This window comes from Homo sapiens, chromosome 19 (assembly GCF_000001405.40).
Source record: "Homo sapiens chromosome 19, GRCh38.p14 Primary Assembly".
NCBI classification, from domain to species: domain Eukaryota; kingdom Metazoa; phylum Chordata; class Mammalia; order Primates; family Hominidae; genus Homo; species Homo sapiens.
The window spans coordinates 3518012-3534606 of record NC_000019.10 but is presented as its reverse complement, the minus strand read 5'-3'; the positions used below and the strand labels follow the sequence as shown (position 1 = coordinate 3534606).

General features: G+C 61.4%; 1 protein-coding gene and 1 long non-coding RNA gene across 9 annotated transcripts in view, besides 2 other annotated features; one reads left to right on the top strand and one right to left on the bottom strand.

Annotated features, from left to right (window-relative positions):
- The window catches only part of FZR1 (fizzy and cell division cycle 20 related 1), a 32024-nt gene that overhangs the window by 3728 nt on the left and 11701 nt on the right, over positions 1 to 16595 (bottom strand). For 3 of the 8 annotated variants that reach the window (XR_001753699.1, XM_005259573.6, NM_001136198.1), the window contains 12 exons: positions 11549 to 11651; positions 8614 to 8739; positions 8424 to 8487; positions 8221 to 8348; positions 7545 to 7627; positions 6793 to 6976; positions 3750 to 3815; positions 2791 to 2893; positions 2512 to 2696; positions 1957 to 2190; positions 1209 to 1313; positions 85 to 186 (listed from right to left, as the gene is read on the bottom strand). Coding sequence is in view for 7 of the 8 variants with exons in the window: in XM_005259573.6 (XP_005259630.1) it covers positions 85 to 186; positions 1209 to 1313; positions 1957 to 2190; positions 2512 to 2696; positions 2791 to 2893; positions 3750 to 3815; positions 6793 to 6976; positions 7545 to 7627; positions 8221 to 8348; positions 8424 to 8487; positions 8614 to 8739; positions 11549 to 11617 (1449 nt within the window). In the remaining variant the exon portion in view is untranslated. Of the gene's footprint in view, positions 1 to 84; positions 187 to 1208; positions 1314 to 1956; positions 2191 to 2511; positions 2697 to 2790; positions 2894 to 3749; positions 3816 to 6792; positions 6977 to 7544; positions 7628 to 8220; positions 8349 to 8423; positions 8488 to 8613; positions 8740 to 11548; positions 11652 to 12766; positions 13076 to 13493; positions 13582 to 16595 lie in introns of those variants that run through there. The other 5 variants (XM_017026863.3, XM_047438908.1, XM_047438909.1 and 2 more) reach the window with 5 other exon arrangements.
- On the top strand, positions 9579 to 16444 carry LOC124904617 (uncharacterized). Its single transcript, XR_007067099.1, has 2 exons — positions 9579 to 10746; positions 13504 to 16444. It is a non-coding gene; the product is annotated as an uncharacterized LOC124904617 (long non-coding RNA).
- Positions 13355 to 14155: an enhancer, noted in NCBI's record as "H3K27ac-H3K4me1 hESC enhancer chr19:3520450-3521250 (GRCh37/hg19 assembly coordinates)". NCBI's record gives its function as "activates a minimal SCP1, AML or CMV promoter by ChIP-STARR-seq in naive H9 embryonic stem cells {active_cell/tissue: H9 hESC(naive)}" and the evidence as "EXISTENCE:reporter gene assay evidence [ECO:0000049][PMID:30033119]".
- Positions 15759 to 16561: an enhancer, noted in NCBI's record as "OCT4-NANOG-H3K27ac-H3K4me1 hESC enhancer chr19:3518044-3518846 (GRCh37/hg19 assembly coordinates)". NCBI's record gives its function as "activates a minimal SCP1, AML or CMV promoter by ChIP-STARR-seq in naive H9 embryonic stem cells {active_cell/tissue: H9 hESC(naive)}" and the evidence as "EXISTENCE:reporter gene assay evidence [ECO:0000049][PMID:30033119]".

Below are 16595 nucleotides of genomic sequence, written 5' to 3'. Positions count from 1 at the left end.
CAGAGGAGGGTACGCCCGAGGACAGTGGGGACAGGGACGACCCTGGGACAGGCTGGGGCGGGGGCGAGTGGCGCTGATACCGACCCACTTTACCTTTGTCGAACGGGTTTTGCTAAAGACGTTCCAGAACCTCAGGGTCTCGTCTCCAGCACCAGTGACGATGGCCTCCCCATCAGGGGACATTGCCTGTGGACAGGAGGGAAGCACCCCATGTCTCTGGGCCTCTAGGTGCCTCGGGACAGTGCTGGGGGACTGAAGGAGAGGGGAGCAAGGTGTCGGGTGGCTGGGCCCCCCAGACTCTGGAGCCAGGAGGGAGGGGCAGGCTGGGGCCACCACAAGCAGAAACCAAGGTTGGAGCCTTTTTTTTTTTTTTTTTTTTAATTTTAAGACGGGGTCTGGCTCTGTCACCCAGGCTGGAGTGTGCAGTGGGGCAATCCTGGCTTACTGCAGCCTTGACCTCCTGGGCTCAGGTGATCCTCCCATCTCAGCCTCCTGAGTAGCTGGGACTACAGGTGCACACCACCACACCTCATTTAAAAAAAGTTTTGTAGAGATGGGGTCTTGCTATGTTGCCCAGGCTGGTCTTGAACTCCTGGGCTCAAGCGATCCTCCCACCCTGGCTTCCTGAAGTGCAGGGATTACAGGCGTGAGCCACCGCACCTAGCCAAGGTTGGAGCATTTTTGCAAAAACACAAAGGACGCCCCCTTGCAAGAGGGGCTCATCAACTCTGCACAGATGAGGGACTGTCAGATGCGCGGATGAAAGCACAGAACATGTTTTTCAGGGAAGAAACAAAATCTTGGCAAGTGAGGGCACGTGGGGCCAAGGACGCCTCCTGGCCCCCATCCAGCCACGTGCATACAGTTACTGTGTAGGACGTTCACAGGGTCATCTGAGTGGTCAGCTGTGAGTTGGTTTTGGCTTTCCTCTTCACCCCTCTTTATGGGGAAAATAAACAAATGAAGAAGCTAAGGTCCTCCAGGAGGACAGGGCCTGCACCTGCAGGGCTGGGGAGTTCGGTAGAGCCCATTCCAACGCTGGCAACACAACCAGCACCAGATGCCCTGCCGGCCCCTGCTGCTGGGTCCCACGGGGTTTTAGATCTGCACACCATCCTCCCTAAGAACACAGGACAGGGTGCTCTGGGGTGGCCATGGCAGTTTGTCCAGAATCCCGGGGCACCTTGAAGTGCCTGGCGTGAACTCACCAGGTACAGCACGCGGTAGGAGTGCCCGGTCAGCTTGGCCACCTGGGTCAGGGAGGGGTACTTCCAGACAAGGATCTGGTTCTGTGAGTAGCCGTGCGTGCTCACCTGGAGGGCGGAGGGGGCGCTGCGGTCGGTGAGGGGCAACGAGGCCGGGTGCTATGCCTGCTGCCTCACATGCACCCGCCTGAGCCCATGTGAGAGCTCAGAGCCGCCAGCCAGCCCAGGAGGAGCAGGGGATGCTGGGATGTGGCTCTGCCACCTGAGTCTGTCTAGGAGGTGTGGAGGCCACAGGTGGACCCCTCCACCCACCGCCAAAGGCTGGAGCCCAACAAGGACCCAAACGGGGCCCACAGCCCCTCTGCCCCACCTGCAAGTCACCCCCGAGACTGTCCTGGTGACACGCCCGGAGTGGCTGGAGCAGGCCAGGGTGCTCAGTGGAGCCCGCTTCATCCTGGGCCTCCCCTCTAAGCAGAGGCAGCCATAGGAGCTCCCCGGCTCCTCACAGAGCCGCCAGGTGTGGCTGCGATGGGGGCCCAGAGGCCCCAAGTCTTGCCCCAGGTGAGGCCCTGATGAGGCCCAGGGGCCTTGCCCCCCACAACTCCCTGCCTCCCCGCTCGGCCTCCCTCGCCCATCTCCCTTCAGAGCGACTCTGACCCATCTCCCCACAGGCTGCTCTCAGGTGGCAGGTAAGGGGCCAGCAGGACGCACATCCTGAGGCCTGGTGGGAGGCCGGGCCGCCCGTGCTCACCAGCTCGTTGGCGTGCTTGGACCAGGCCAGATTGCACACTTGGGAGCCCGTGTCGATACACTGCAGTGGTTGTCCTGTCAGCGTGTTCCAGAAGCGGATACAGCGGTCAGCTGTGCCGCCCCCCGAGGCCAGCAGCCCGTGCTGATGTGGGGACCAGGCGATGGCCTTCACGGCCGCCAGGTGCTCCGTGTACTGCTGCACGGGGCTCAGGCTCGAGTGATTCCAGACCAGCAGCTGGGGGACAGGGGCTGTGAGGCCGGGGCTGTCCCAGCCCTGTGGTCCCATAGGCCGGTCCTCACAGGTGTGACGACCTGCCCTGGCACCCCACCCCACACTCCTCCTGCTGCTCCCTCAAGGACCCCTGGGGGCACACACTCGTCACCCTGTGCCACAGGGCAGGACTGGCTGAGCAGGAAGGACAAGCCTGGTGCCCTGCTGATGGCTGTGGAGTGGGCCCCGCGCCCGCGCCCGCCCCAGCCCAGGCTCTTCCGTTCCTGCCAGTGTGAGGGGTGCGGCTTCTGGTGAAGGGGAAGCCCAGGCTCTGGGCGGGGGTACCTTGTTGTCGTTGCCCCCCGAGGCGAGGAGCTGGTGGTCTGTGGACCACTTGAGCCCGCACACCTCCTGCCGGTGGCCCTGCAGCCGCCGCTCCGACTGCAGTGGCGGGGTGCGGATGTCCCTCTGCAGGATCATGCGGTCGCGGCTCCCGGACGACAGCTGCTCAGCATTCCAGGCCAGCGCCCCTGGAGGCCAGGTGGAAGCGGGGGTGAGCCTCTCCTGCCCTCGCGGAGCTGGGGCCTCAGGGAGCTCACCAGCCATGGGACCCGGGCTCCTCACCGACGCGTGCCGTGTGGCCCTCCAACATGGACAGCTTCTTCCCTGCGGCTGCGTCCCAGATCTGCACGAAGCCCTTGTGTGTGCCCACCGCCACCAGGTTCCCCTAGGATGGAAGGCATGGGCAGAGCACCGGTGTCAGGTCTGGCCCGGGGACTGTGCCCGTCCTGGCGTTGGTCGCGCCAGGCTCTCTCCTCACCAGGGCTCTGGGACGGTTTCCCTAACGACTCTCGAATGCACGTCCCTTCGGAAGAAGCATAAACCCCCCTCAGTGCATGCTGGGGTGGCGGGCACACCCCGCACACACTGCGCCTGGGTTTCTCAGAGTCCAGCCAAGACTCGGTACGTGGACCTTCCCACATGGACATTTCACACAGAGGGAAGGAGAAACTGCAGACACTGAGCTCCAGGTTCCACACAGGCCCAGGAGCTGGGCAACATGCGTTGCTGTCTGCAACTGACTTTGAGGCACATGAAAACCTAAGATGGATGGAGGGAGGGTGAGCGCACACGCCTGGACACAGTGAGCGGTTACGAGTGCTAGGGGCAGCCCTGGGCAGCTCTGGGTGAGGGGCACAGACCCTCCCCATGATATGCTTCAAAGCTGCTGCTGAGATGTTTTCATCATAATCTAAAATGGAACTAAAGCCCACTCGACCCTGAGTGGAAAATGGAACTCCAGGGGAGCGAGTCCCAGGTGGGCAGGTCCCATGGAAGGAACTGGGGCGTTATTTCCCCACTGGACCTGCCATCCTTTCTAGGGGCCTGGTGGGTGCCTGCTCATCCCTGTTACTCCCTCTACCAGGACCACACTAAGGCCGGGGACAGTGGGGGACACAGACCTATGCTTGGACACAGGCGACCTCAGGCCACGCACTAGACCCTCTGGGTCTTCAAGGCCCCCAACACTGTCAAGAGCCCCATCAGATCTCCCAGGTGGGGGCCAAGCCCTCTGCACTCACCCGCTCAGACCAGCCCACGGAGGTCACTGAGTCCCCTTCCACTGAGAGGTCACAGAGCCGCGTCACCTGGAGGCAGAGGTCAGTGTGAGCTTTGCCGCTGGTCTCGAAGCCCCAGTCTATCCATGGGTACATTCATCCCTCCACTGTCTCACCCATCCACTCTCATCCACTCTCCCATCCAATCTCATCCACTCTCCCATCCACAGTCCCATCCACTTTTCCATCCACTCACCCATCTGCTCTCCCATCCACTCCCTCAACCACTCTCATCCGCTTTCCCATCCACTCTCATCCACTCTCCCATCTGCTCTCCCATCTACTCAACCATCCACTCCCTCAACCACTCTCATCCACTCTTGCATCCGCTCACCCATGCGCTCTCCCATGCGCTCATCCATGCGCTCTCCCATGCGCTCTCCCATCCGCTCTCCCATGCGCTCTCCCATGCGCTCTCCCATCCGCTCACCCATCTGCTCACCCATCCGCTCTCCCATCCGCTCTCCCTTCTGCTCAACCATCCACTCCCTCAACCACTCTCCTCCGCTCTCTCCTCCGCTCTCCCCTGCGCTCTCCCATCCGCTCTCCCATCCGCTCTCCCATCCGCTCACCCATCTGCTCTCCCATCCGCTCACCCATCCACTCTCCCATCTGCTCTCCCATCCGCTCAACCATCCACTCCCTCAACCACTCTCATCCACTCTTGCATCTGCTCACCCATGCGCTCTCCCATCCGCTCACCCATCCGCTCCCTCAACCACTCTCATCCACTCTCCCATCCGCTCTCCCATCCGCTCACCCATCTGCTCTCCCATCCGCTCACCCATCCACTCTCCCATCCACTCACCCATCTGCTCTCCCATCCACTCAACCATCCACTCCCTCAACCACTCTCATCCACTCTTGCATCTGCTCACCCATGCGCTCTCCCATCCGCTCACCCATCCGCTCCCTCAACCACTCTCCCATCCGCTCTCCCACCCGCTCACCCACCCGCTCACCCACCCGCTCACCCACCCGCTCACCCATCCGCTCACCCATCCACTCAACCATCCACTCCCTCAACCACTCTCATCCACTCTCGCATCCGCTCACCCATGCGCTCCCATGCGCTCACCCATCCACTCTCCCATCCACTCTCCCATCCGCTCTCCCATCCGCTCAACCATCCACTCCCTCAACCACTCTCATCCACTCACCCATCCGCTCTCCCATCTGCTCACCCATCCGCTCTCCCATCTGCTCAACCATCCACTCCCTCAACCACTCTCATCCACTCACCCATCCGCTCTCCCATCCACTCAACCAGCCACTCCCTCAACCACTCTCATCCACTCTCCCATCTGCTCTCCCATCCGCTCACCCATCTGCTCTCCCATCTGCTCTCCCATCTGCTCTCCCATCCACTCAACCAGCCACTCCCTCAACCACTCTCATCCACTCTCCCATCTGCTCTCCCATCCGCTCACCCATCTGCTCTCCCATCTGCTCTCCCATCCGCTCTCCCATCCACTCCCTCAACCACTCTCATCCACTCTCCCATCCGCTCTCCCATCCACTCAACCATCCACTTCCTCAACCACTCTCATCCACTCTCCCATCCACTCCCTCAACCACTCTCATCCGCTCTCCCATCCGCTCAACCATCCACTCTCTCATCCGCTCTCCCATCCGCTCTCCCAACCGCTCTCCCAACCGCTCTCCCATCCGCTCTCCCATCCGCTCTCCCATCCGCTCTCCCATCCGCTCTCCCATCCGCTCAACCGTCTGCTCTCCCATCCGCTCTCCCATCCGCTCAAGCATCCGCACTCCCATCCTCTCACCCATCCACTTCCTCAACTACTCTCATCCACTCTCCCATCTGCTCATCCATCCGCTCAACCATCTGCTCTCCCATCCACTCACCCATCCGCTCTCCCATCCACTCCCATACACTCTCCCATCCACTCAAACATCCACTCCCCTCAACCACTCTCATCCACTTTCCCATCCACTCTCTCATCCACTCACCCATCCACTCTCTCATCCATTCTCCCATCCACTCACCCATCCACGTACCCATCCACTCTCCCATCCACGCACCCATCCACGCACCCATCCACACACCCACCCACTCTCCCATCCACTCACCCATCCACTCCCTAATCTGCTCACCCATCCACTCTCTCATCCGCTCACCCATCCACTCTCTCATCCATTCTCCCATCCACTCTCCCATCCACTCTCCCATCCACTCATTCACTCTCTCATCACTCCAGGCCCATGGGGTCGCTGGGTTGGTCACTGCTGGGACCTGGCAAGCTCAAGCCTGCCACACACATACAGGGGAGACACACACACACAGGGGAGAGCCTGCATGGGACGAGCAGAGGATGGGAGGAAGCTGCCCAGAGCTACACGGCTCCTGCTGCCGGGAGAGGACGCTCAAATGGTGAGGGCAGGGCCTAGAAGGGTGTGGGACACTGCCAGCGGGAGCAGCTCATAGGCTGCAGGGAGGGCGCCAACCCTCGCTCTCCCGAAACTACTCGCATGGCGTTATCCCTGAAACCCCCACCCCAGCGGGCAGTGTCTGCTGCTGCCCTGCACCAGCAACCCAGTCTCCCTGTAGGGACTAGCAGGCTCCATGCGCCCAGAGGCCACTCCAGGACAGCGGCCACTCGGTGGTCATAGTGGCCCCTGGGCTCAGCCAGGCTGGGACACCTGTCTCTTCTTCTCTATAGAGCTGAACAGAGATTGTGGCTCCAGTGGGGACCCCATGCTGCCGCAGATGCCACTGCTGGCTGGGAGGGCAGTGGCTGGGAGGGCCATGGCTGGGAGGGTTGGGAGGGCCGTGGCTGGGAGGCCCTGACTGGGAGGGCCATGGCTGGGAGGGCTGGGAGGGTAGTGGCTGGGAGGGCTGTGGCTGGGAGGCTGGGAGGCCCCAGCTAGGAGGGCCATGGCAGGCGCCTGGCTCGTACTGATGCTCCCTGGATCCCGGTGGGTACATTGAGGTCTGCTGGGAGCTGGGGAGGCCCCCATGCACATGCACACCCCACGCAGCACCCACCTGGCTGGTACAGGCACTCCACAGGTACACGCAGGTGCCTAGCCCCACGCTGAGCACATTGAGGGACGACCAGTCCACCAGATTGAGGTAGAAGTCGTCCTGCAGCTCGGGCGCGTCCAGCACCTTGAAGGGGATCTTGGAGATCTTGCGGGTGGGTTTCCGGGGGGACCGGAGCAGCTTCTGGCTGCAGAGGCGGCCACGTGGCATCCGTGAGCCACGGCACTTGGGTCACCTCTTGCAAACGCTTGGGAAGTGTCTCCTTCCCTGCCAGCCCCAGGAGCCCAGTCCGGCCCCTCCAATCACCACCGCCACCATGTGATCCTAAACCCAGGGACAGCCCCACAGGCCTTCACCCTCGGGTGTCTGGCTGCCCTGGCCTCCCTTCCACAGCTGTGCTGGCTCTGCTCCCCACACCTCCTCCAGGCAGCCCTTCCTGACTACCCTGCCCCTTGTCTGAGGCCAACACTGCCAGGCCATGGTGTGCCCTCAGCAAGGGGATCTCTGGGCTGCTCTAGGCCTGGACTACACTTCTATTACTGACCATGGCCTCATGGGGGGCTGGGGCCCCTCCACTCTAAGGACTCTGGGGGAGGACACAGTCACAGCTCCAGGCCACTATGCCCTGGGAAGCCCCCTTCAGCCTCGCCCACCAGGACCCGCAGGGACAGGGCTGCGGAGGAAGCTGGGACCCACCTCTTGCTGCTGACGGGAGACAGGGAGTAGGGAGGGCTGCGGAGGAAGCTGGGACCCACCTCTTGTTGCTGACGGGAGACAGGGAGTAGGGAGACACATCGTTGCCGTCATCGGGGCTGGAGCGCTTGGTGCTAAGGGAATACTGTGGAGCGGGGGACATGCCAGCTGAGCGCACGCCCAGGCCGCAGGACCCTCAGAGCCCCCCAGCAGCCCACGCTCCCGGTACAGCTCATAGCCCTAAGGCAGGTGCTGAGACCCTGTGTGGAGCAGCTGTAAAAAGGCAGGCGCCTTCCTGGCGGGGACTGCGGACCCCCCACCCCTCCCGCCCTCTCTCGAGGGACCCAAGCCAGGCTCCGTGTGATCCTGCCTTTGAGCTCCCGGATCATGTGGACAGAGTGGGGCCCTGTGGGAGGACCCAGTACTGCCCCCTACGGGCAGGACCCCCACCGGCTTGGGTGTTCGGGACCCCAGGTAGCATTGGTGTGGGGAGAAAAAGCCCAACAGGCTGAGCCTGGATTCCTCCCGCACCCCCACATCCCAGTTTACCTGCTAGACCTCCAGCCTCAGATCCCAGGGCCCCTGACCTGGCTAAGGAACAGGGTCAGGGCGGGGGTGCTGAGCCGTGGCTGGGCCCGAGAACCGGGCTCGGGGAGGCAGAGCTGGTGCCTGGGAGGTGGGGGGCCGGGGAGGCTGCACTGGGAGCCAGCTCCCGGGTGGGGGGTGCCGCAGGCTTACCGTGAACAGACCCTTCTTCTCAGGCGTGGAGGGCTGCAGCCTGCGGTCCTCAGTCTGCGGGTCCTGCACCTTCTCGATGCCGGCACCCAGCAGCTCATTCTTGAGCAGGGCAGAGTAGGCCAGGCCGTCTGCGGGCACCAAGCACAGTGAGGCGGGGCAAGGCAGGGTGGGGGCCTGCAGGGCGGATGGGCTGGGACCCTAACCTTTGCCGTTGTCTGAGGTGGCGTCCTTGGCTTTCCGGTTCTGACTGGGAGACTTCTCATTCTCCTGCAGGCAGGAGAGCAGAGAGGGAGGGGTCGAGGAGCCCGCTTGTTCCCGGCCCTAGAGCAAGGAGGCTGGGAGGGGCCCTGGGCTTCCCGGGGGGTCCCATCTCCTGCCCAGCCAGCCCCTCACGTTAATCCTGTGGAAGTTCACGCTCCAGTTGGCTCCGGCTCTGGAGGGGATGAAGCGGTCTCCGTGCTTGCTGGGCGAGGACACTGGGGAGCTGGCAGGCGTCAGGGTCCGCCGCATCTCTGTGACCTGAAGGGCATCAGCAGAGGGCTTGCTCTCAGCACCGAGAGCCCCCCGAGAGTGCCCCCAGGCCAGCCTCTCTCAGCCTCTGGCCACTGAGCAAAGGGGGCTTTGATCTTGAAAACCCAAGGGGTGGGCCAGGCGCGGTGGCTCACGCCCGTAATCCCAGCACTTTGGGAGGCCGAGGCGGGCGGATCACGAGGTCAGGAGATCAAGACCATCCTGGCTAACACTGTGAAACCTCGTCTCTACTAAAAATACAAAAAATCAGCCGGGCGTGGTGGCAGGCGCCTGTAGTCCCAGCTACTCGGGAGGCTGAGGCAGGAGAATGGCATGAACCTGGGAGGCGGAGCTTGCAGTGAGCCAAGATTGTGCCACTGCACTCCAGCCTGGGCGACAGAGCGAGACTCCGTCTCAAAAAAAAAAAAAAAAAAAAAAAAAAAAGAAAACCCAAGGAGGGGAGCCACACAGTCACTCGTGGTCACTCATGGTCAGGGATTTCTGTGCCAGAAGCCTCCGGGAGATGCCAGGCCCACGGGCAGGCTCAGCCTCCCAACGCTGCCAGGCAGGAGGGTGGTGAGGGCAGGGCCACGGGACGGGGTGGAGTGGCAGGAATGGGGGCCATGGCGGAGGGGACAGAGCCAGGGAGCACAAGACCCCAACTGCCCTCCCAACGCTGCGCAGGTGCCATGCATTCACCGTCTCTAGATGATCACAGACGCAGGCCTTGACGGCACAAGACACGCAACAGCTGTACCCAGAGCCACCTGGGAGTGTGGCCCTCATCCCCATCTCCTGCTGCCCACAACACCCGTCTAACCCTCCAACCCCATCTGACTGTCCCCGCGCCGTCTTTTTTCTATGAGGGGTCTGTTATCAGCTGACCGGTGTCCCTAAAAGGATACTGTGAAGTCCTGAGCCCCGCAACCTGGGAATGGGACTCTGATTGGACACGAGTTTCTTGCAGATGTGATTATACTCAAGAGGAAGCCATTAGGGTGAGCCCTGATTTGATGACAAGCATCCTCATAAGAAGAGGAAAACACGGACACAGAGACACAAGCAGATGGTTCCAGGACAGATGCAGAGGCCAGAGGGACGTGGTCACAGCCACGGATAGCAGGAGCCCCCAGAAGCTGGGAGAGGCAGGAAGGGTCCTCCCCTGGAGCCTCGAGAGGAAGCGTGGCCCTGCCCACACCGTGACCTCCGACTCCGGACCCCCAGGACTGGGAGAGGTTCTGCGAGTGCTGCGTGGGCCCCGTCTGCGGCCTCTCTGGTGGAGCCCCAGGAAACACAGGCTTGCGTAGGGTCATATTCCGTCTGCTGTCACATCTCCCTGCCCCCAGCCTGTGACGCAGTCATGGCCTTGACACTTTGGAGGGTTCCAGGGCTGTCTCTCCACAGCCTGGCGCTCCGTCTGGGTCTGAAGGTGGTTCTGTGTCATAAAGTCCAGGCTGTGCTGGGTGACTGCGGGGCAGGACGGGTATGTGGGGAGCTCTCCCAAAACTGCCAATGCCCGCTCCTCCCCCATCTCCCGTTCACACCCCGGCCTGGCTGCATCCGGGAGACTTCGAAGTGCACTGGATGGAGGGTGCTGGATCCTCGCACTGCGCCCCGCCCTCCCACGCACTGCTGGGCCTGCAGGCTCCCACTGTCCTCCTGGCAGCCCCGAGAGTGCTCTGGAGACCGAGGGTCGGCACTAGGGCTGCTCCTGCTGCTGGGCGCCGTGGTGCCCAGATCCTCTCTGTGCACACAGATGCCCCTGTATTTATGCCTCTCTCTCTCTGAAATCCCTGAGATTGCAAAGACACCTCTAATTCTACGCCACTTTTCTTCTGCAGTGGCCCTGTCCCTTTACCAATGGGGACCCTGCTACATCACGCACGATCCTGGATCTGCCTCCCTGGCTCTGCCCTGTGGGGGCCGCACCGCACAGGGGGAGAAGGCGGCTGTGGTGGGCTCCCGCAGGTCCCGGGACCCAGGCTTTGGGGTCTGAAGCTGAACAAAGCCTTGAAGGTGAGCCTGCCCCAGGCCTAGCCCAATGCCTGGGCACAGAGGTTGCTGGCACTGAGGGAGCTGCGATGGGACAGCCCCTCCCCAAAGGCCCATGCCCCTCAGACCCGTCTATGCAGGCCAGCCCATGGGGGAGGGACTCGGGACAATGGCAACTTCGTCTTCGAGAATGATGGCTTGGGCGTCTATCACAGGGCAGGGACTGGTGGCCGTCCAGGCTAAGCCTGATGCTATTCCGACCCAGGCTTCATGTTGTGTAGACAGCAACAGGAGTTTGGCCCCTCAGCCCCCCGCAGGAGTCGGGTGGGGAAGCAGGTGAGGGATGTGGCTGTCACACAGCAGCCACCAGCCCCGAGACCCTGTGTGGCCAGTGGCCTGCCTGGAGCCCAGGGCAAGGCAAACACGGCTGGGCTGGGGAGGCAGGGTGGAGCGCAAGGAAGGACAAAGCCAGGGCCCCCCAAATCCCACAGGGTTCCAGATGTGCCTGGGGCTTGGAGACAGGAACGGGTCTCCCTAAAGGCTCTGCAGGCCACCCTGTGCCTCTGCCCATGCGGCCGCCCCAGCTCCACCACTCTGGGCCTTTTGCCTCCTCATCCATCCAAGCCCCGCTGGGCTCTGACTATGGCCCTGGGGGTGGCGGCAACCCTGACAGCCCAGGAGGCGGAGGCCCCGTGTGACCTGGGGGACTGGGACCTGAGTGGTCCGTGGGGCTTTAGTGACAGTGGGGACACCTGAGGCTGCTGGCCAGGGCAGAGGCAGCTGGGGGAGGGGGAGCCACAGTGGTGGGCAGGGCGGGGGCACTCACGCGTGGCATCGTGTTCTCATTCTGGATGACGATCTGGCGAAGCAGGCGCCGCTCATAGTCCTGGTCCATGGCGAGGCAGGGCTCGGCCCGCGGCAAGGTTAGCCTGCAGCGGGAAGGGCAGGAGAGGTGAGTGGGGCAGGGCCGGCTGCCCGGAGACCACGGGGCTCGCCTGCACCTCCAGGCCCTGGGAGCTAGAGTGACTGTGGGGTCCTCCTGGCTCCTCTGTGGGGATCTTCTGCCAGCCCTAGCCTCATCCTAGGTGAGGCTCCCCCAACCTGGGCCTCGGCTGCTGCCCACAGACCCTCCCAGCCTGTATATCCACACCCTGTCCTCCTGCCCGGGAAAGGGGCTTTCTGCCCTGGAGGCCCCAGGAGGGAGGCGGGGGCTGGGAAGAGTCCTGGAGGTCCCGACAAGGACTCTTCCCTGAGCGTGGGCAGCCTCCATGTCCCGAGGAGCCATGGGGACCCACGTGCGTGTGCGTCTGCAACGGGGTTCAACAAGCCACACCAGCTCTAAGGCAGTGTGCAAGAGCTGGCCACGCACAGGCCCCGGGCCGGCCACGTGGGTCCAGGCCCAGGTAGACCAAGTCACAGCTCCAGGGACATCAGCCTCCTGTGGACAAGCCACATCCGCACTCAGCTACAACCAAGGTAACATCCAGGGGCCCATGCAGAGCCCACATGGGACCAGGCTCAGCCAAACCAGGAAGGCCCCTCCAAGGGGGTGGCATTTATGTTGAGGTGTGAAGAAAAGTGGCGGTGAGGAGACCGCAAAGAACGTTCCAGAGAGAGATGCACAGCCCGAGGCAGGAAGGGGGTTTGTACAAGAATAAAGTGAAGGTCCGTGCAGGCCATGGAGACAGAAGGTAGCCTAGGAAAAACGCTCTTCCCACCAGGGCCAGCAAACCACAGCCCAAGGCCATGTACAGGCTGCCGGTCTGTAAATACAGCGGTTCTTTTTGTAGACAGGTCTCCCTGTGTCACCCAGGCTGTAGTGCCATGGCACAATCACGGATCACTGCAGCCTCAACCTCCTGGGCTCAAGTGTGGTGGCGCGCACCTGTGGTCCCAGCTACTTGGGAGGCTGAGGTGGGAGGATCGCCTGAGGCTGGGAGTTTGAGGCTGCAGTAAGCTATGATCATGCCACTACACTCCAGCCTGGGTGACAGAGCAAGACTCTGTCTCAAGAAAAAAAAAAAAAAAAAGTGAAAAAATTTACCTAAAGTTTACCATCTCGAACACGTTTAAGTGTGCAGTTCTGGCCAGGCACGGTGGCTCACGCCTGTAATCCCAACAGTTCGGGAGGCCGAGGCGGGTGGATCACGAGGTCAGGAATTTGAGACCAGCCTGGCCAACGTGGTGAAACCCCGTCTCTACTAAAAATACAAAAATTAGCTGGGTGTGATGGCACATGCCTGTAATCCCAGCTACTCAGGAGGCTGAGGCAGGAGGAGCGCTTGAACCCGGGAGGTGAAGGCTGCAGTGAGCTGAGATCGTGCCGCTGCACTCCTGCCTGGGTGACAGAGCGGGACTCTGTCTCAAAAAAAAAAAAAGCGTACAGTTCAGTGGTGTTAATCACATTCCCGTGGTTGTGTAGCCACCACCACGGTCATCTCTAGAACTTTCTCATCTTCCCAAACTGAAACTCTGTCGCCATGGAACACTCACTCCCCATCCCTCTCCCCAGTCCCTGGTGACTTCTTTGGCAGGTAAGTTCCTCAATCGTTAAACACAGAGTCTGTCAGTGATGAAAGCTTAGTCCCGTTCTGCTACTAATGTTAAGTGATGATAAAGTTATGTCTACGCAAGAGAAACCCACAGTCACCACATGACCCAGCACTTCCTAGATACACACCCAGGAGAATGGGAAAGGCACAGGAACTGGTACACAAATGCTCACAGACGCACAATTCACAACAGCCAAAAGACGGCAAAATCCTACATACGCATCAACAGGTGAGGGACGAACCAGCGCGGCCCTCCACACGCCAGAACACGACCCAGCCATGAAAGGAGCAAGGCTCTACCCAGGCCACAGCGCGGACACGCCCTGAGGACGTTGCACCCTGTGAGAGACACCAGACACAAAAGACCTGGGAGGGCCCTGGAGGAGGCTGACTCACGGAGACCAGAAGGGCCGAGGCGACACCTGCCTTTTTAGGAAACAGACACCTGAGGCATGCACTGGCTTGCGTCACCAGGTAGGGACAGACCCATGCGGGTTTGGTGCTGCTCCTGTCATCCCGAGCACCACTCTGTCCTGAGATACTGAGGCGGTTGGCCTGATTGCCACCTCCACAGCTCCAGGTGGCCTCTGACGAGCTCCCGGCCTGGGGTTGGAGATAGGATCAACCGCAGGGCTGTTTCTTCTGCAAGAGCCCGCAGGCAGCGCTGACTGGGCCCGCAGTCAAGGGACGCATGTGGTCCCTGGCTCGGCCACATGGGGCCAGTCAGGCTCTGAGGGACAAGAGCATGCAGCCCACAGTCCTGTGGTAGTGGGTTTTCGTGGCTTATCTCGTGTCCCCTCTGCAAGGCCTCATGGACGGGTGCCAGCGCCCACCGCCTGTGCAGATGAGGACACGAAGGCAGAGTGCAGGGCAGCAATGCCCACGACCACATAGAAGGCCCAGGGTTCTCTACATGGCTCAGCCCAAAGCACATGGGCCCAAAGGGTGGCCCACGCGGCCACAGAGCAATGGCCAGCAGCTCTCCCTCCTTCCAGCCTGCCCCCTACTGGGGCCAGGTCATGTCACCAGCCTCCTCCCCATCCCCTTCTCCCTCGCCCAGAATGGCCTCTCCCCACCCACAGTCCCCACCGGTTCTCCACAGGGCACAGCTGCCTCCCGCAGCCCCAAAGGCCCATGTGTCCCCACCACACCCGACCACTCCTGGGCCAGCACTGGCCATCCCAGGACGAGGAGAGGCCTAAGCATCTGTCCCCAGTGAAGACAGCCTCTGGGGGACAATTTCCCGAGCCTGGAGCCAGAGGGTCTATAGAGACCTGAGCCCCAGGAAAGGTGTGGGTGTGGGGCCCCCCGGGACTGATTTGCAGATGAACAGGGAATCTACGCAGATCCTGAGCCCCACGAGAGCTGTGGGTGTGGGGCCCCCCGGGACTGATCTGCAGATGAACAGGGAATCTATGCAGATCCTGAGCCCCAGGAGAGCTGTGGGTGTGGGGCCCCCCGGGACCGATTCACAGATGAAGGGGGATCTACACAGATCCTCCAGCACTTACAGAAAGGAAACCGCGGAGCAGAGACCACTTGCAAAGGCAGTACTGTGGCATGAAAACCCCACCCTGGGGGCAGGGGCTCCTGGGGGAGTCTCCGTCGGAAGTGCAGTGCTCAGTCCAGGCTGTGCAGAGGTGGTGCGTGCAGCCACAGAGGACGTCAGCTGTGGCCATGGTTGGGGAGGACAGCTGGAAACATCGGCTTCACAGGCAGCATTGCCCAGACAGTAGCTTGTACCCCTTGGCACACCAAAAACCAGGCAGGACCCGAACACTGAGCTTCAGAGCAGGGGTGAGGGAGCCCCTGCTCAGACTCCAAGAGTCCCAGAGCCAAGCGGCGAGGAACTTGTTCAAGTCCAGCAAATCTGAGACCAGAGGGAGGCCAGCCCTCCGCCCTCCTTGGGGTAGATCAGCCACCACCGTCGGCTCCATGCAGGTCGCCCAGCACTGGCGGCTTCACAAGCCCCATGCAGCCAGCAGGCGACTCACCACGTAGACGCGGCTGCCGCAGGGCAGAGACGATCCGGACTGCCAGGGGCGTAGGGTCCTGACCCCAGGACCTGTGCCTAGGCCACCTTGCAGGGCAGCAGGGACTCTGCAGGTGTGACTGAATGTTTCAGAGGGTGGCAGGTGTGGACGGGGCTTCCCCAGACACTTATGCTCCCCACGGTCCTGGAGGCCCTCTCTCTGCCCAGCCTCGCATGGGGGGCCCTGCCCTCTCTCTTTCCTCTCTGTGCCCCCACGGCCCCTGACTTCTGACAGCCCCATCCTGTGTTGGATGTGGTGGGGAGGGTCATTCATTGACCAACACACATGAACAGAGCCCTCCCAATGACAGGGCCACAGCCCCACCCACCCACTGGAGTGAGCTCCCTACCAGAGGAGGTAGTGGGAGAAAATCAAGCTGGTGGAGAAGCATTCCAGGTGGTGGCATGTGCTGCCAGGAAACACTTTTTTTTATGGAGACAGGGTCTCTCGCTCTGTCGCCCAGGCTGGAATGCAGTAGTTTGATCATGGTTCACTGCAGCCTCCACCTCCTGGGCTCCAGCTATCTTCCTACCTCAGCCTTCTGAGTAGCTAGGACCAGAGACATGCACCACCATGCCTGCTAAAGGAAGTACATTTGTAAAAGTGGCCCCCAACAACTAGCTGCCAAAGTAAAAGCAAGATGGACAACGGCACCAGCAGACTTCAAATCCCAGCACAGGACAGTCTCCCCAAGACCTGGCACCTCGCAGAGGGACCCATGGGCACAGGAGCGCGGGCACAAGCGGAACGGCTCCAGGACTGTATTCCATGCCAGCACTGCCCCTGCTCCAGATCTGACTTTGCAGGTGGGGCCCAGCCCTTCCCGTGTCCTGGTGGGAGCCTTTGTGGCTTCTGTACTTTCAGCACCCTTGGCTAGGCCTTCTCCAACAATGGAAAAACTTTGTAATGCAAATCTTACTCGTTAAAGAACTTAGCTGCCAGGTACAGCAGGAGGATACCAGGAGTTTGAGATCAGCCAACATGGCGAGACCCCGTTTCTACAAAAAATACAAACAGAGGCACTGTGGGGGGCTGAGGTGGACAGATCACCTGAGCTCAGGAGTTCGACACCAGCCTGGCCAACATGGTGAAACCTCGTCTCTACTAAAAAATAAAAATTAGCTGGGCATGGTGGCATATGCTTGTAATCCTAGCTACTAGGGAGGCTGAGGCAGGTGAATCACTTGAACCTGGAAGGCGGAGGTTGCAGTGAGCAGAGATCGTGCCACTGCACTCCAGCCTGGGTGACACAGTGAGACTCTGTCTCAAAAAAAAAAAAAAAAAAAAA